Raw genomic sequence first — 18,812 nt, forward strand, 5'->3', positions numbered from 1 at the left:
TGGCTCATACTTACTTGTCTTTCAGTTCTTAGGTGAAATGTCACCTCCCCAGAGAAGCTCTGACCCCTTCTCCCAGTCTTGTTATGTTCCCCTACTGGTCTCTCTCGAAGTCCCCTGCTTTTCCCTCCACGCTGCCGACATCATTTGTAATTCTATGTTCATTTCATGTCTGTTCCCCTAGACTGTCAGCCTGTTGACAGCAGGCATGGGCCCATTTTGTCCATACAGCATCTAATTAGTGCCCTGCATACTGGGGATGGATGAAGGCACAGGTGAAGATGTTGTCACAAAGGGTTGCCCACAAACCCAAACCCCATGGGTTACATAAGACAGGAACTTATTTCTCTCACATACAGTTCAGAGGTGAGTGGCCCGGGCCAGCAGGGCTTGGTCATCTTATGGCTTCCACCTTGAGGTCCAAGGTCACCATTTCTCAGCCAGCAGGAAGGGGGAGAGGGGAAGTGGAAGGTAAGCAGCTTCCAGCTGCATGAGTTTGAAATTGATCACGTCCGTCAGATAGAACTTAGACACGTGGCCACCCTAGCTGCCAGGAAGTCTGGGAAATGTGGTCTGGCAGGCACTCATCTTCCTGCTAATATTCTAGGAAAGTGCTGTTCTGTGGCTAAAAGGAAGACATAGAGGGTGTATTCTGCAGTGAACAGAGCACCCTGGCTGACCTTGGTCCTACCCAACCTGGCAGTCCCTGGGTCCCGTCGAGGGGCTCTGACTGGCACATCCACTGCTGAAGCCCCTCTGCTTGCTCCTGCAGGGTGCCGGACACAAGCCCTGGACCTCGTCTTCATGTTGGACACCTCTGCCTCAGTAGGGCCCGAGAATTTTGCTCAGATGCAGAGCTTTGTGAGAAGCTGTGCCCTCCAGTTTGAGGTGAACCCTGACGTGACACAGGTCGGCCTGGTGGTGTATGGCAGCCAGGTGCAGACTGCCTTCGGGCTGGACACCAAACCCACCCGGGCTGCGATGCTGCGGGCCATTAGCCAGGCCCCCTACCTAGGTGGGGTGGGCTCAGCCGGCACCGCCCTGCTGCACATCTATGACAAAGTGATGACCGTCCAGAGGGGTGCCCGGCCTGGTGTCCCCAAAGCTGTGGTGGTGCTCACAGGCGGGAGAGGCGCAGAGGATGCAGCCGTTCCTGCCCAGAAGCTGAGGAACAATGGCATCTCTGTCTTGGTCGTGGGCGTGGGGCCTGTCCTAAGTGAGGGTCTGCGGAGGCTTGCAGGTCCCCGGGATTCCCTGATCCACGTGGCAGCTTACGCCGACCTGCGGTACCACCAGGACGTGCTCATTGAGTGGCTGTGTGGAGGTGAGTGGGGGAATCCACACCCTCAGGGCTGCCCCCATGGCAGGCCCTCAGCCTGAGCCTTCACATACATCATGACGAGGATGGCAGCTCTTCCCAGCTACTGAGCACTTGCTTCCCAAGTGCCAGGTTCTGTGCTAAACCCCATGCTCACATAAAATCCTACAGTAGGCATAACCATCCTATTTGACATTTAAGGTACAGAAAGTTTAACTAACATAGATAACTCCCCCCAAACTTGAGAATTTATGCATTCCCTTTAAACAGAACACACTTTTAGAATATCCACAAGCTTCCTAAGGGTCTAAAGATCCCACATTCACACTGACTTGGGCAGTGACAGAGCCCAGAGCAAACAGGGCCAGGCCAGCCCAAATCCAGTGACCTCCTCTTCACCTTCTTAAAAGAGACAGGAGAATCACTTGAACCCGGGAGGTGGAGGTTGTGGTGAGCCAAGATCGCGCCATTGTACTCCAGCCTGGGCAACAAGAGCAAGATTCTGCCTCAAAAAAAAAAAAAAAAAAGTCTGCCATGTGTATGGCACGTCTGAGCAATGGACTCTCCATGAGTCTGTAGGAGAGCTGGGTCTTACTAACCTAGCCAAGTGGTATGCAGCACCAACCATGAGCTACCGGGGCAAAGGGAGACATGACTCTAGTAGCCTTGCACCTCTACTGGGCTTACTTAGGGTAGGGGTCTTCGGGTCTAACCCATGCCTGGCCGGCCTGGTGGGTATGGTGTTCTCCATTGTAGAAGCCAAGCAGCCAGTCAACCTCTGCAAACCCAGCCCGTGCATGAATGAGGGCAGCTGCGTCCTGCAGAATGGGAGCTACCGCTGCAAGTGTCGGGATGGCTGGGAGGGCCCCCACTGCGAGAACCGTGAGTGGAGCTCTTGCTCTGTATGTGTGAGCCAGGGATGGTATTGCGAGTCCTGCCAAGTCCCACAAACTCAGCTGAAGGCAGGTTCTAAAACATTCGTTCAGTGGAAGAAATTATTCAGTCGTTTACCCACGAAACATTTAGTGAGTACCTCCTGCATCCCAGGCATTGTTCTCAGTGCAGGAACATAGCAGTAAACAAATGAATAAAACCTCTGCCCTCATGGAGCTTCCATTCTAATGGGAAGACAGACAATAAGCAAATAATACAACATGTGGTGTGGTAGACGGTGCTAAGCACCCCGGAGAAAGTCATGACAACTAGGAGGGAGGCCACAGTTAGGAGCACAGTAGATCCAGGGTACAGGGATGTAGACGGAGGCAGGGATGGGTAAATGCGGTGGTGGGAGCTGCTGGAAGCTCTTTTTGGGGTGCTATTTGCTCAGTAAAATGGGAGGAACAGCTAAGTGAGGACGAGGAGGAGGTGCTAGAGGTTTGAGAGAAAAGAAGTCATTGTCAAGGGTAACAGATTAGGACCTAGAGAGTGATCGTTGGGAGGCATTAGAGGTCCAACTATGGCTCCTGTTCATGAGTTTGAAGTTAGAACAGCCAGAAATCAGAAGACAAGTCCAGTCGGAGCCTTGGTTTTTTGGCCACGGGCAGAGGTTGGCTTCCTAAGGCCAGAGAGAAGCTCTGGAGGATAATCACATGGGGTCTCTAATCTGGCATCTTCTGCTGGGGGCGAGGTGGGTTGTAGAGTAAGAGCAGGACCTGAAGGGGTCCTCAGAGGCTGCTGGAGGGCTGAGAAGGGGATGCAGACACTCCTGTCCTCAGACTTCACTTCCTTCCCCAGGATTCTTGAGACGCCCCTGAGGCACATGGCTCCCGTGCAGGAGGGCAGCAGCCGTACCCCTCCCAGCAACTACAGAGAAGGCCTGGGCACTGAAATGGTGCCTACCTTCTGGAATGTCTGTGCCCCAGGTCCTTAGAATGTCTGCTTCCCGCCGTGGCCAGGACCACTATTCTCACTGAGGGAGGAGGATGTCCCAACTGCAGCCATGCTGCTTAGAGACAAGAAAGCAGCTGATGTCACCCACAAACGATGTTGTTGAAAAGTTTTGATGTGTAAGTAAATACCCACTTTCTGTACCTGCTGTGCCTTGTTGAGGCTATGTCATCTGCCACCTTTCCCTTGAGGATAAACAAGGGGTCCTGAAGACTTAAATTTAGCGGCCTGACGTTCCTTTGCACACAATCAATGCTCGCCAGAATGTTGTTGACACAGTAATGCCCAGCAGAGGCCTTTACTAGAGCATCCTTTGGACGGCGAAGGCCACGGCCTTTCAAGATGGAAAGCAGCAGCTTTTCCACTTCCCCAGAGACATTCTGGATGCATTTGCATTGAGTCTGAAAGGGGGCTTGAGGGACGTTTGTGACTTCTGGCGACTGCCTTTTGTGTGTGGAAGAGACTTGGAAAGGTCTCAGACTGAAATGTGACCAATTAACCAGCTTGTTTGATGATGGGGGAGGGGCTGAGTGTGCAATGGGCCCAGGTCTGGAGGGGCCACGTAAAATCGTTCTGAGTCGTGAGCAGTGTCCACCTGAAGGGTCTTCCTTTCAAAAGAGGCTGCGGCCAGAGACTGTGGCTCATGCCTGTAATCCCAGCACTTTGGAGGCTGAGGCAGGTGGATCACCCGAGGTCAGGAGTTTGAGACCAGCCTGGCCAACGTGGTGAAAGTTTGTCTTTACTAAAAATACAAAAGGTAGCCGGGGGTGGTGGTGGATGCCTATAATCCCAGCTACTCGGGAGGCTGAGACAGGAGAATGGCTTGAACCTGGGAGGCGGAAGTTACAGTGAGCCGAGATCTCACCACTGCACTCCAGCCTGGGCAACAAGAGTAAAAATCTGTCTCAAAAAGAAAAAAATGTACTTAGGAGGGGTTAATTGTGGCGTGTTTATGGAATTCTTTCCTTATTCTCCTTTTAGTGGGGCAAAGAGAAGTAAGATTCTTAAACTCAAAAATATAGGATAAAGAAACTTACAGAGATTTTGCTTTTTAAAGCATTGATCTTACGCTGTCTAGGTTTTAATTTTGTTTTGCTTTGCTTTTCTACACAGTTTTTAAAGAAATATTTCAAGAAATGTTGGTTATTTATTAAACAGGGATATTTGTACCTATGTGGCAAAGAGGCATATTTGGAATATTCTCTGGCAAACTAGATACTTACTTCCCTATCGCTGCAGTATTTAGGAATTACTTCTTCTCCTTGGTTGTGTTGTTTAGAGTTGGATTTTCTGTAGAAATCTTTCTAGAGCTCTGATGTGACTCCAGACACTTTATCGTTTTTCTTTTTTTTGAGACGGAGTTTTGCTCTTGTTGCCCAGGCTAGAGTGCAGTGGTACAATCTTGGCTCACTGCAACCTTTGCCTCCCAGGTTGAAGTGATTCTCATGCCTCAGCCTCTTGAGTAGCTGGGATTAGAGGCAGGTGCCACCATGCCTAGCTAATTTTTGTATTTTTAGTTAGAGACAGGGTTTCACCATGTTGGCCAGGCTAGTCTCGAACTTCTGACCTCAGGTGATCCCCCTGCCTTGGCCTCCCAAAGTTCTGGGATTACAGGGGTGAACCACTGTGCCTGGCCCATTTTTCTTTATAAATATTGTAACATAATGTTTTATAGACAAACATTCAAGGGTACTTTGGCTTTAAGAACTTCAGGATTTCTGGTGCTAGAAAAGCGCTTGAAGCAGTATCACCAAGATTTTAGATATTAAAAAGTCTGGTGTACCAGACATTGAGTCATAATCATCTATATTCAAGGGATACTTTCATTGATAACTTTGTTATTATGCTGCCCTTCACAGAAGACAACGTCCGGGGCAGGATCACATGCTCCCTAGCAGATGCTGATCAGTGATGTCATAGAAATTACATGAATGCATTGTCTTTAAATAGCAGTTTAACCATGTTATAATGTAGGCTTTTTGTCTTGTTCCGGGCTGGTATTTGGGTGCCCTGATTGAATTACTTGGATTTAAACAGCAAACTGTGGGCTCTCGACTTACATAGTAAGGGCCTTTACTGTTTCTTTGTAGGAAATGGGTTTCTCGCCTTTGAAACATTTTTTCCCCTTTTGTAGTGACAGTGCCACTAAATAGTTCAGCTTTTGTCAGTCCCCCAGGAAAGTGCTATCCTATGGCCTAACTAGCCAAGCCTTTTTTCTTTCATTTAAAAGAAATTAGCTTTAATTTTTACCTTTAATTACTTATTCAAATAAGACAGAAATATATTTTCCTTGCAATAATTAAAACATTGCATATAGGCCATAAATTTCCTTATTTTCTCTGAACGATCCTGATTCCAGTCATCTTGTTGAATACCCTAGTTCTAATAATTGACTCTTGCTTTTCTAGAGAAATATTTCCAAATGATGCTAGTTTTGTCTCTTCCTTTCAAAGTTGTATACCACTTCTTTTTCTTGTCATTTTGCATTGCCTGGGACCTCCAGAATAATGTTTCATGAAGTAGCATGTATCCATATCTGGTTCTTGACTTTTTCATCATAATAATTGTTTTCTATGGGTTACTTATCAGTTTAAGAATGCTTAATTCCTAGATGAACTAAGAGTGTTTATTACATGTTGAGATTTATGGTATGCTTTTTCTTCCTCAAGATAATGCATTTTTTGTATTATCTGTTAATGTGATAGGTTATCCATTTGTGTATTTTCAATCATTGAACAACCCTTGATTTTTTTGGATAAACTCTATTTGGTCATTATGCATCATTCTATAAACCCTGCTGAATTTTTCATTTGCCAACATCTTATTTCAGATTCTTTTAATCTGTGTCCAACAATGAGATTTGTTTTCTTTTGCAATTTGTTTTGAATTTTTGGTATCAGAGCTATACTAACCTTATAATGGAAAATACATATTTCTCAAACTTTTACACTGATATATTCATAGTATTTTTTTATAATTTGAAAAATCTTGTCAGTATCTGTATTAAGGCCTCCATTTCAGTTCTGCTATTTCATATTGCCTTAGGTTGTCTATTTGTCTCTTTAATGAACCCGATTTTGATTTTGTCATTTTTAAAATAAACACATTTATGCTATAAACTTCCTTAATTACTACTTAGGCAACCTTCCCAGTATTGGTATGTTTCTTTTTTCCCAAGAATTCTTTAGGAGTATATTTAACTTCTGGGAGGAGTACTGATTTTTCATTCACTTATATATGATCAATTTCTGCAGATGTTTCCTGTGTCTTTGGTATGTTGTTAACTGTACAACTAAAATTTGCTTTCAGCCTTATCTATGCTCTTTGATTCAAGGAGGCTGAGTTTCCTGCTAGGATCCCATCTTGTAGTTCAGTGTGTAAATAACCAAAACATTTCCTCCCTTGAGAACCCCCCAGGCCCTGCCCCAAGTCATTTCATGAACTGAGGAAAACTTCAAATACAATGAACATTTTATTTTAAAAAACCTAACTAACTCACCACTTGGTAAAAGGTCACCAAATGTTTATGAGAGAGGAAATAAGAATAAAAAAGACATTTAGTTCTCAGGAACAAGTGTTAGAGAACTGATACACAACCCTCCAGAAATGAGGCAGAGATAATAGATGAAATGTTTCAACCTGTGTTAAAAAAAAAAAAAAAAAAATGCCATCAGAGGAAAAGACAGGGGCAGCACAAGGAACAGCACTGCCAATTTTAAGAGGGCGATCACCCTAACCAAAAATCACCACTTTGTTCTTGGAAGGAGAATGAACATTAAACAGAACTTAAAATCAGAGACTATTTATATTAAATAACTCTTCCCTTAAAAATGGCCTGACCACAGCAATGAATCTGTAAACACAGAGTAATATTTTTCCTACAGTAAAGAGTCACTTTAATCTCAAAAGATACTTTTCACTGTTCTAAATGACAGGATTTTAAGCATTTTTTCCTATATATAATACAGCATCACTTAAAATTTTATTTAAAGACAGTTGATTCAGGCCTGCCTTGGACTGGAAAGAAGTCTTTAACTTAGTGGGATTAGTGCTTCAGCTTGGTCCCAAATATTTTCCCCATTATTGTTTCTCAAAACTCATGTCATAGATGGTTTTACAGATGATGGTTTTACAGATGATGTCAATGCTGTTTAAAATCACTGAAGACTGAGTTGGGCCTGGTAATATTGGAGAGAACTGAAGGCAAGGATGGTTTAATCCCCAACTGCTAAGTATTGGATAAGAGATGATGGCCAGGAGTTTAGGTCTTCTCACTCACCAAAGACACGTGACCCATAAGACAGGGCCCTGCTTCCTTGATTCATCTTCCACCAAAGTCTAAACAGGAGGTTTTCACTATTTAAAAATCTTAGTAAAGCAATTGATGACAACTTCAAAAAAGAAAGAAACACAGAACATCCCTAAATACAACGTCTTGTTTACATCCAATAGACTTAGGTCTCCAAAGAAGCCTCCTTTTTGTTGTATTATTTCCTTTGGCTCTGAAAAGGGACAGAGCCTCCTCTTAGCTGAAGCTCTCCATTCACAGTACCTCAGTCTTTGCTTTTTCTTCTAAACAGACTCACCCTTTCGCATAGTTTTTGCTTTAACAAAGCAGGATTGTCACCAAGGTCCACATTGACATGAGAGTCTTTAGATGAAGCTTGTTTTCTAACTTGCTCCTTTCTTCTCCCATTCCTAGGGTACCATTCAAATACCAGCACCCACCCCCCACCAAAAAGATAGTTAGTTATCCACTGTAGCAACCTTGATATACATAGAAAAAATGTGAGAAAAACTATTTTAGGCACAGAGGTGATAAATGTTTCAAACCCTGTGTGTTCATCACTGCTTAGAGTGCCTATTCAGAGATTTTGAGACTGTGGCACAACAGCGAGTGCCTATAAGTGATGTCTCTCACAGCAACAAGGGAGTGGAGGTTCAGATGCTTGCATGGATTTATTGGTTAGCCATTGTTGTGGGACCTCCAAATATCTCCAGCAGGTAAGGAGGATAGGAATAAGGAGCAGAATTTGCCAAAAGCAAAGGCAGCCCTAGGCATGTTCTTTAGTGTACAAATGAGTAAATGAGTAAATGATTAATGATACTTTTTTGACTAGCCATCAGGGAGAAACCGCATCATAGCATGGATTCCTCATTCACAACTTGCTGAGAATTTTGCCAGTAGTTGGGTGGGCAACTTTGGGCAATTCAAACCACCTATGTGAGTCTGTTTCTTTAGTTTTAATGGTAGAAGTCCTGTGGAGTCACTGACTGACTTTTTGGTTTGAAAACTCAGTCATAATCTGTCCCTGAGCTGCAGCTGGCCTCCTGGAATCTACCCATAGCTGTGTGGAGGGCAAGAACTGAAGCATCCCCAAGCTCACAGGGAAGGATGCTCGAACCAAGTGCAGACACCTTTCTGGTTGGTCAGTGCCAGAGACTGAGCTGAAGGCATGGCAAAGCCATGGCCACTCCTTGGTGAGTGCCGAGCCCTTGCTCAGAGCTGGTGCCAAAAGCCACAAAGCACCACCTGGGTCAGAAGATGGGCCCCTACCTTAGTGACATTTCTGCTGGCCCCAAGGGAGGCTGGGAGTGACTGCTTACCTTGGCTTTCTGGAGTACAGTGCCTTTGCCTGTGACCACGACCGAGAGAGGCCTGTTCTTGAGTGTGGTTGCAGAGTTGACTGGGGTACAGTCTGGGGCAGAGGCAGGTGTGACAGCTTTGGGCTGTGGTTATAGGAGGAGAGCAAGGGCTGAGTCAAGGGGAGGGAGATGTGACCCACCCACCCCAACCCATGTCCAGGGAGCCCTGCAAGCAGCCCAGAGGCCGCAGTTCCAGCACTCACGCGGGGGCTCACATTCTCCAGGTGGGTGGTGTCCACGGTGGTGCCTAACGTCACAGGCCCTGCCTCAGCCTTCTTCAGGTTGTCCTTCACCTCCATGATGCTGAGCTCCAGGTCCACGCGCCTGCTCTCCTCGCCCCGGCACTCCTCGTCAATTTCCTTCAGCTTCTGCTCCAGGCTCGCCAGGACTTCCTTGTCTGGAGAGAGAATTATGCAGGTGTCAGAGAACAGCATCTCAGCCCAGGCCAGGGAGCCCTGCTGGGTGGAGGCAGGGTCTACATACCCCGCCACCCGAGAAGGACCACAGGTCTGGCCCCAACACTCAGAGCCAGGAGGGGCCTGTATGCCGGGGCAGCCTGGAGGCCTCCTTTAGCTAGCATTCTGCAAAGGCTGGGAGGCTCTTGGGGAGGAGAGCTCTGGCTTCACTAAGGGGCATGAGTCTGAGGCCTTAAGTCCCTTCTTGTAGGTTCTCAGAGACTCTTGGTTGCTTTGACAGTGACCCAAAAGGGTGAGGGGCTTTATTCATGGCCCATGGAGGAGGGCTGGGCAGCTTGACCTGCCCTACCAAGTTCCCTCAATCCTCTGGCTTCCCTACGCCTAACAGAGCAGGAGTCCTCAGCCCTGGCTCCTCCTGTTAACCCTGGACCTCTTGGGTTGATGCTGCCACACCGTGAAATGATGCCTAGGGCCTGTATCCTAGAAGCTCACTGCTGGAGGAAAGGATGGTATCACATATGTACCACATAGAGTCCTGAGCACAGGGCCACTGTTTAAGAAAAATTCACAGATGCTATTGAAGGACCATCTCTAAAGAGGGAAGGAAAAGAAAACGTATACTAATAATGTTTTGAAGATTGGAGTTTAAAAAAATACAGTTCAAGCTGGGTGCGGTGGTTCACGCCTGTAATCCCAGTACTTTGGGAGGCTGAGGCAGGCAGATCACTTAAGGCCAGGAGTTCGAGACCATCCTGGCCAACATGGTGAAATCCCATCTCTACTAAAAATACAAAAATTAGCTGGACATGGTGGCGGATGCCTGTAATCCCAGCTACTCAGGAGGCTGAGACAGGAGAATCGCTTGAACCCAGGAGGCAGAGGTTGCAGTGACCCAAGATCACGCCACTGCACTCCAGCCTGGGCAACAGAGCAAGACTGTCTCAAAAAAAGAAAGCCAGTGGGTGACTTTGCACCCTCAAGACCTTCCCTCACCAGTCAGCTGAGTTTGTCCTCAAACCTGCACCGCTGCTCTTGCTTATTCATACACCTCTACAATTTAAATAAGCACAAAGTTACTCCATGAAAACTAAGTCAAATACTTTGGAAAGGTTCTAGAAGAGGCAGGTTGCAGCTGGGCATGGTGGCTCACGCTCACACCTGTAATCCCAGCACTTTGGGAGGCCAAGGCAGGTGTCCCTTGGGCTCAGGAGCTCTAGACCAGCCTGGGCAACATTGCAAGACCCCATCTCAATATTTTTTTAATTTTGAAATTTTAAATGCAGCAGATTGCCAGGAAATAGCTGTCAAATGATACGAGTGTGATTTGGAAGATAATCTAGAAAGACTTCTTGGCAAGTATCTTAAGTTTTTGTTGACTTTCAAGAAATGAAGGCTGGAAATGAAGGCTGATGCATTAACAGGTGTAGTTAATGCATGAAGGATGACATGAGACTCCAGTCAGCCAACCAGAGCTCAAAAAATCTGCAGTGCCAGGTCCTCAAAAGATGGGCCAAGGAATATGCATTTAAGTGACAATAAAACACGGCCTATGCATAACCCTGTAAAACTTCCTTTAACTAGCTTTTACGATGACCTGCTGGTCCTATTGATGTTCCGTCAGAGGCTTTCTCTCTCTGTCCAGGAGAATGACCTTTCAGACAGGATTGGAAGAAAGGACACACAAGGGAGCACCCACCCAGGCCAAGGGTTGAAGGGGCCAGGGCCCACTGATTGAGAAGGTGTGGTGACAGCCAGATCTTCCGCCAAAAAGTTAAGCCTACACGGCCCTCTGAGCTGAGGGTCCCTCCCCACTGGGGGCCCCCTTACCTGTGCATTTCAGTAGGGTTTCCTTTAGCTCCCGTTTCTCTTTCCGGAGCTGAGCCAGGTGCCCCCGGATTTCTTCCTTCTTCTTTTCAAGCCTCTCCTTCTCCTCTGTGTACCGCTTCACCTCAGCTTCTGTCCGATTCTTGCCAAGCTTGATCTCTACAGACCCAGAGAGGGAAGCCCCAGGTAAGCAGAGCTGGATCATGAGGGCTGTCCCCAGTCTACTCCCCAGGCTCGGATAGAACCTGGGGCTTTGGCACAAAGCCCTGCTAGGCTGGATGCCAGACCTGGACAGGTCCCTCTACCTCTCTGAACTTGTTTCCTAATCTGAAAACGATGGTGTGATGGTTAATATTGAATGTCAACTTGATTGGATTGAAGGATGCAAAGTATTGTTGCTGGGTGTGTCTGTGAGCGTGTTGCCAAAGGAGATTAACATTTGAATCAGTGGACTGGGAGAGGCAGACCCGCTCTCAGTCTGGGTGGGCACCACCTAATCAGCTGCCAGCATGGCTAGAATAAAGCAGGCAGAAGAACATGGAAGGACTTGACTTGCTGAGTCTTCCCCAGCCTTCATCTTTCTCCTGTGCTGGATGCTTCCTGCTCTTGAACATCAGACTCCAAGTTCTTCAGCTTTTGGACTCTTAGACTTACACCAGTGATTTGCCAGGGGCTCTCGGGCCTTTGGCCACAGACTGAAGGCTGCACTGTCGGCTTCCCTACTTTTGAGGCTTTGGGACTTGGACTGATCCACCACTGGCTTCCTTGCTCCTCAACTTGCAGAAGGCCTATCGTGGGACTTGACCTTGTGATCGTGTGAGTCAATTCTCCTTAATAAACGCCCTTTCATATATACATCTATCCTATTAGTTCTGTCCCTCTAGAGAACCCTGACTAATACAGATGGAATCGGGCTAACTTCCCCAAGCACAAGTACCTGCACTGGTCACGCGCAACCTGTCCTTCACAGGTGGGCTGGCACCAGGTGGGGTGGCCACCACGGCATCCGGGCAGCTCGGTGGGAAGGAGATTCTCTGCTGTTCCGTCTGGATTTTGACGGTGGTGATTCTCAGGGAAGGATCCTCTGGCTCCAAACTCTCCAGCTGCTTTGGGGGAAAGCAGACCTGACTCAGCTGGCTGAAGGGGCGCAGGAAGGTGGTCTTGCTGTCCTGCAGGGGAGGCCTGTACCTGTTCTCCCAGGTTCTCTGGACACTTTATGCAGGGCTCATCTGGGGTGGGACCTGGGCCTGAGTCTGCCGGGAGGGCCTCAGTTGCATTGTCCAGGCAGGACAACGTCGGGGAGGAGGCCTGGGCCTGTGCACTGCTGGGGCCATGCAGAAAGGACTTGACAGGTGTGAGGTCCAGGTACACTCGGTCAGATTCTCTCTCATTTGGGTCATCTGCAACAGGGGTGGCTTCCTCGGTAGGCTCCACCTGCAGGAGAGAGTGAGTCTGGGGCATTCAACATTACCTCTACTCCCTCAGCTGTGGAGGGGGTACCAGCCCTGCCTCACAGTTCTGGTGCCCATCTCACAGTGTTCCAAGAGATCTCCCTCCCTGCTGGGGGGGCCACTGGCTGAGTCCTAGATATGTCACTCGAGGTGGAAGACCCAGACAGAGCACTTAACTTCCCTGAACCTTATTTCCTCATCTGTAAAGAGGAAAAGAGCAGCATCTTCCCATAAGGTGGTTAGGATTCAAGGAGATCATCTGCAGGAGGTCCTCAGCTCAGCACAGGGTTCAGTGCCCAAAACGTGGAAGTTGCCATCGGTGTGATCATCCCACTCAACAACCGATTTGGACCTGGAAGCCTACTGGTACCTCCACTCCCAATCCCACCACCACACCCCTAGCCCTGACGAGAGGGGTTCACCGGTGTTTCATCTAGATAAGTCCCCAAGCCAAGCAAACTGCACAGCCTCACATATAGGAGACAGCCTTGTTGCACTTAGGTGTCTGCACTACTGGCCTGGTAGGTGACTCAGAACCCACTCATCTCATCTCAGGGATACTCTAATGATCTCTGGCATCCAGGTGTTGAGGTTGGTAGGAGGAGGGCCTGGAGAGGCCCAGGCCACTGCCTGGCCGGGTCCTTACCGCAGCTGTGAGCTCTGACAGGTCCACGTCGTCATACAGCTCCTCCTGGCGGTCCTGGCTAGGCAGGCCATCGATGTAAGTGTTGGGCTCTGAGAACTTTCTCTGCATCAGTCTGGAAACAGGGCGAGGTGGCACACATGAAGCAGCCGGGGCAGGGTGGTGAAAGCACCAGACTCCAAGGATTCCCAGTGAGGAGTGGTTGCCGTGAAAGTGGTGGCCACACAAGAGATCTGGGGGCTGACACTCACCTCCATGGATCTGAGGGCACCTCCTCCCTCTTTTCCCAGTGCCTTCTTCCTGAAATTCTTGGTTCGAGATTTTCCTCCCAGAAAGACAAGCTTCCCTTGCCCATACGCCTCGTCCTAGGATCCCTTTGCCATCTTCTCCCCCATTCCTCCCTTCTAGGATCTCCTTCCAGCAACCACAACAAAAAACCCCTTCTCATTTCATCTTCACAATACACTTGGGGTGGCGCAGGCCAGACACTATCCCCGTTTGGTCCATGAGAAAACTGATTCTGTTTCAGTGGCTCAGCCGGCTTCCACGAGACTGGCTCTACCACCCTGACCAGAGAACGCCCTCTCCCTCAGCCCTAGTTTGCTCATCTGGAAACAGAAGCACCACCCCCTGACCTGCTTTTCTCCAGGGTGTGCTGGAGACCCAGTGAGGGATTCACCAGAAGGACAAGTAGGAGGTCAGGAAAGGTGACAGCTCTGCCTGGAGGAGCTGGAGAGTCTAACTGCCTCTGAGGATGCCAAAGCTGCCCCCGGGGCCCGAAGCCTGGCTCGGCTCCTTGCTCTTAGCTCAGCTCCTGGCTCTTGGCCGGGCCTCCCTGAGGGCTACTCCTTGGCTTCACATTTTCCTGCTGCTGGGCAGAGTGGGGTGGGACCCTGTGCTCCCTGCTGCCCCTGACTCTGGCTGACCCAGGGCCTACAGCATGGCCAGGAATAAGAGAGTGTACGGAGGAAGGGTCCAAATTACTCACAAGAGAGAGTTTTTGGCCGCACTCACAATACAGGAGACCCTATCGGCATCCACATAGTCGTAGGTGAACTCTTCTGGGTCTGTCTTGGAGCCTGACTCAGAGAGCAGGAGACCCAGCCAGTGGCCCATTTCCTCGGAAGACTTGGCCTGGAACGAGGCCAAGAGAGACATAAGCAGGGCCAGGCAGTGCTGCCTGGTGCCAGCCCCTCCCCACCAGGCCATGACCGTACCCCTACCCCTGAGCCTGCCCACGAAAGCCTCTGTAACAGCCCGGGGCTGTGCTTCTCCTGTTCACCAGCCTATCCCACCCCCCAGTGGCCCCAGATAATATTTCCTGTCGTCAGTGACATCTTGATGCCACCTCAATAATGCTGTGGACTTTTGTCCCAAGGGCCATATGAGATGTATATACATTGTGTTTCTAGGAGGTGAAAACTTATCACCAGGTGGTCACTATTAAAAACTGTTAGTGACCACCTGTTAATTAATAGTTTTTAAAATGATTAAAAAATTGTATGTCTTTTAAGTTGACACTTGTATTTTATGAACAATGCATGTCATTCCCCCAATCCCATATACAACAAGACTTCCTGGATCCCCAAGAAATAACAACATTCAAATTTATTTTGTTCATGGCTTCAGTAAAGTCGGGACATCTTTTAAATACCTTACACTAGCTCAGCTGCTAAATCATCATCAAAATCCCAGTGAATTTGGTATTTTTTTTTCCAGGGGACAATGCATTCTAATCAAATGCATCCATTGGGTACCTCAATTAAAATGTCCACACTGTTTCTTACCTTTATAATGAGAAAAAACTGCCCATTTAATCAAAGCTATAGGTTTATTTTGATGAGGAAAATCAGCCCCCTTTGGTATAACCCATAGCTCCATCACGTTTGCTGCTACATTCTCTTCATCAAAGAGGCCGTGATGAGCAGAATTTGACATTTAGTTGGTTTCCTTTTCCCAGTTTTTTTTTATTTTAAAGACAGAATCTTGTTCTGTCGCCCAGGCTGGAGTGCAGCGGTGGGATCTTGGCTCACTGTAGCCTCTGCCTCCCGGCTTCAAGCAATTCTCCTGTGTCAGCCTCCCAAGTAGCTGGGACTACAGGCGCCCACCACCACACCCAGCTAATTTTTGTATTTTAGTAGAGACAGGGTTTCACCATGTTGGCCAGGCTGGTTTCAAACTCCTGACCTCGGGTGATCCACCTGCCTCAGCCTCCCAAAGTGCTGGGGTTACAGGCGTGGGCCATCATGCCCGGCCCCCACTTAGTTTCAACTGGATTCTAAATACAGCTTTTCATGGGCCTCCCCTAGTCCAGGCTGCGTCTCTGCCCTGGACAGCTGCGACAGCTTCCTAGCAGGTCCCTTCTTGCCCCCTCCGATCCACTCCCACCCCAGTAGCTGGAGGAAGCATCTCAAAACCCCGATCTGAGCTTGCCGCCCTCCCCTGAAAGCCATCAGGGCTCCGTTGCTCCTAGGATCAAGCCCTGTCCCTCCCGCTCCAGCCTGTCACCCAGACCCCAGTACAAGTCTATAGCACCCTCCCCACTTCTTTCCAGCCATTGTAGCCCAGCGATTGGCTGGGTAATTTGCTGAATAACATCACACTCCCAAACTAGGATGTAAGTGCCACAAGGACGGAGTCCATATTGCTCTTGTCCACCATATTCCTGTGCTGAGAAGATGTCTGTTGATGGGGAACCTCTGAATGGATGAATATAAGCTACAAGCTGGACCCTGGGAAGCAATTGCGATGTGGGTCTTTCAGCCACCAGAGGGCAGGATTGGAGCAAAGTTTGGATGAGGACCTCCACATCAAAGACTAAGTGAACGGACATTCACGGGCAAGTGTGTGCTTCCATGCGTGGAAGGGACTCGGTCTCCGCCTGCCGCAGCTTGCAAAGCGTTATGTCACTTCTTATTTTTGTAAACGTAACATCACATCAAAGGGAGGATGGGGAGCGAGAGGAATGTAATTGTATCACAAAGCGAATTTTTTCCCCCAGATAAGCTCTAACAGTGTGGTTTTTACGTACTGGGCCTAGAGGCTCTCCCAGCTGGTGATACCCAAACAAAACAACACCCACTTTGAATCCCCAGCAGCTTTTCCAGTAGCTCAGAGAACTAAAAATACTCCTTCTGCCCTAAGTGCAGGAAGTAGCGCATGGTTCCACTCTTATAACGCAACTACTCTGAGGTCAGAAAAGGAATGGAAATTTTTAAAAATGCAAACAATCTCAGGCAAACGAAGTAAAAATAACACGCGGGGACATTGATTCTCCCTTAGTAGCATTACAGTCCTGGAGACTGGCAGCAAACAGCCACCACCGCCACACCCTGGCTGGCCCTGCTCCCCCTGCAGGCCGGCGGTACCTCAAGCTTGGCCAGCTCCTCGCCCTTGTGGAGGATGCGGAAGGAGTAGAGGTGGTCGGGGCTGGGGTCTGGGACCACCTCGCAGCCCACCAGGCTGAGGGGTTGCTGGGCCACCTTGCTCCGGTTCCGGTCCTGGTAGAAGTGCAGGTGATTGTCCCTGACAGAGCACCAGCGAGACTTCCACTGGCTGTTCACCAGCACGTTCAGGTAACCTGCAGGAGGAAGTGCAGATGCAGGAGGGGACAGGGCTGCAGGAGGGGACGCAGATGCAGGAGGGGGCGGGGCTTCGGGAGGGCACACAGATGCAGGAGGGGGCGGGGCTGCGGGAGGGGAAGCGGATGCGGATGCAAGAGGGGACTGGGCTCCAGGAGGGGACGCAGATGCAGGAGGGGACCGGGCTGCAGGAGGGGACGCAGATGCAGGAGGGGACTGGGCTGCAGGAGGGGACTGGGCTGCAGGAGGGGACGCAGATGAAGGAGGGGGCGGGGCTGCGGGAGGGCATGCAGATAAAGGAGGGGGCGGGGCTGCGGGAGGAGACGTGGATGTGGGAGGGCACGCGGATGCAGGAGGGGATGCGGACGCAGGAGGGGACGGAGCTGCAGGAGGGGTCGCGGATGCAGGAGGGGACTGGGCTGCAGGAGGGAGCGGGGCTGCAGGAGAGAGCGGGGCTGCAGGAGGGGACGGCGCTGCAGAAGGAGATGCAGATGCAGGAGGGGACGCAGATGCAGGAGGGGACGCAGGTGCAGGAGGGGACGCAGATGCAGGAGGGGACGGGGCTGCAGGAGGAGATGCAGGAGGGGGTGCAGGTACAGGAGGGGTTGGGGCTGCAGGAGGGGACACAGATGCAGGAGGGGGCGCAGATGCAGGAGGCGACGGGGCTGCAGAAGGAGATGCAGATGCAGGAGGGGATGCAGATGCAGGAGGAGATGCAGATGCAGGAGGGGATGCAGGTGCAGGAGGGGACGGGGCTGCAGGAGGGAGCGGGGCTGGAGGGGACGGGGCTACAGGAGGAGATGCAGATGCAGGAGGGGGTGCACGTACAGGACTGGTCGGGGCTGCAGGAGGGGACGCAGATGCAGGAGGCGTCGGGGCTGCAGGAGGGGAGGCAGATCCAGGAGGGGACGCGGGTGCAGGAGGGGACGCGGGTGCAGGAGGGGGCGCAGGGGCAGGAGGGGACGCGGGTGCAGGAGGGGACACAGGTGCAGGAGGGGACGGGGCTGCAGGAGGAGATGCAGATGCAGGGGGGGTGCAGGTACAGGAGGGGTCGGGGCTGCAGGAGGGGACGCAGATGCAGGAGGGGACGCAGATGCAGGAGGGGACACAGATGCAGAAGGGGGCGCAGATGCANGAAGCGACGGGGCTGCAGAAGGAGATGCAGATGCAGGAAGGGATGCAGATGCCTGGAGGGATGCAGGTGCAGGAGGGGACGGGGCTGCAGGACGGGATGGGGCTGCAGGAGGGAGCGGGGCTGCAGGAGGGGATGGGGCTACAGGAGGAGATGCAGATGCAGGAGGGGGTGCACGTACAGGACTGGTCGGGGCTGCAGGAGGGGACGCAGATGCAGGAGGCGTCGGGGCTGCAGGAGGGGACGCAGATCCAGGAGGGGACGCGGGGGCAGGAGGGGACGCGGGGGCAGGAGGGGATGCGGGGGCAGGAGGGCATGGGTGTCTAGGTGTGTCCTATGCTGGCACTGCCTCTAGGCTTCCTTAGAGTCCCCCAGATTCTCAGCTTCAGAACCCATCAGACACCTTCCCTGTCCTAAGGGATTGGAAGCTGCCCTGAGCTTTGGCTGGCTGAACCAGGCAATAGCGTGAAAATGCACAGCTACCTTCCTGCCTGGCCCAGTGGGGATCATGCATATCGCCAAGCCACATTAACACAAAGTGGAAGAATTAGAGACCAGGACTGAGATGACACACACACCCGTCACAATCCTCTGGACCACAGAGAACTTTGGATCATGAGAGGTGGGATCTCAGATCATTAAGCACCCCCAGTCCTGGGAAGGAGAGCAGCTGTATTCTCTCTCAGCCCTCCCCTAGCCGCAGGAAGCATACTTCACTGCTGAGTAGACATCCAGCAATCACCCAGCCACATCTCTTAAACAGTGACTCACAGGGACTGAGCTCCCAGGCCAAACATCATGCCCCCTGAGGCCACTGCCTGGCACCCTGGCTGGAGAAGCCGGAGAATGCAAAGACACACCTCCTAGCCCACCCCCACCACCCTGCCAGCCTCAAAACACAAGAAAACTCAACTGGG

At 50.3% G+C, this 18,812-nt stretch overlaps 2 protein-coding genes across 63 annotated transcripts in view, besides 1 other annotated feature; one reads left to right on the forward strand and one right to left on the reverse strand.

The window, feature by feature from the left end:
• VWA2 (von Willebrand factor A domain containing 2) overlaps positions 1-6,332 on the forward strand; it is a 55,247-nt gene extending 48,915 nt beyond the window's left edge. For 6 of the 8 annotated variants that reach the window (XM_047425155.1, NM_001320804.1, XM_017016179.3 and 3 more), the window contains 3 exons: positions 770-1,321; positions 2,072-2,197; positions 3,050-6,332. In XM_047425155.1, the coding sequence (XP_047281111.1) occupies positions 770-1,321; positions 2,072-2,197; positions 3,050-3,069 (698 nt within the window). In that variant the 3' untranslated portion in view covers positions 3,070-6,332. The other 2 variants (NM_001272046.2, XM_017016180.2) reach the window with 2 other exon arrangements.
• AFAP1L2 (actin filament associated protein 1 like 2) overlaps positions 1-18,812 on the reverse strand; it is a 124,451-nt gene that overhangs the window by 7,444 nt on the left and 98,195 nt on the right. For 10 of the 55 annotated variants that reach the window (XM_047425857.1, XM_047425853.1, XM_005270237.6 and 7 more), the window contains 8 exons: positions 16,551-16,762; positions 14,171-14,316; positions 13,186-13,297; positions 12,277-12,522; positions 12,026-12,194; positions 11,092-11,247; positions 9,052-9,245; positions 8,810-8,932 (listed from right to left, as the gene is read on the reverse strand). In XM_047425857.1, the coding sequence (XP_047281813.1) occupies positions 8,810-8,932; positions 9,052-9,245; positions 11,092-11,247; positions 12,026-12,194; positions 12,277-12,522; positions 13,186-13,297; positions 14,171-14,316; positions 16,551-16,762 (1,358 nt within the window). Of the gene's footprint in view, positions 1-6,655; positions 7,901-8,136; positions 8,933-9,051; positions 9,246-11,091; positions 11,248-12,025; positions 12,195-12,276; positions 12,523-13,185; positions 13,298-14,170; positions 14,317-16,550; positions 16,763-18,812 lie in introns of those variants that run through there. The other 45 variants (XM_047425869.1, XM_047425863.1, NM_001351074.2 and 42 more) reach the window with 11 other exon arrangements.
• Positions 16,801-16,850: a silencer, noted in NCBI's record as "silent region_2843". NCBI's record gives its function as "represses an Ori minimal core promoter by ATAC-STARR-seq in GM12878 lymphoblastoid cells {active_cell/tissue: GM12878}" and the evidence as "EXISTENCE:reporter gene assay evidence [ECO:0000049][PMID:35858748]".

Source organism: Homo sapiens, chromosome 10, assembly GCF_000001405.40.
Source record: "Homo sapiens chromosome 10, GRCh38.p14 Primary Assembly".
Lineage (NCBI taxonomy): Eukaryota > Metazoa > Chordata > Mammalia > Primates > Hominidae > Homo > Homo sapiens.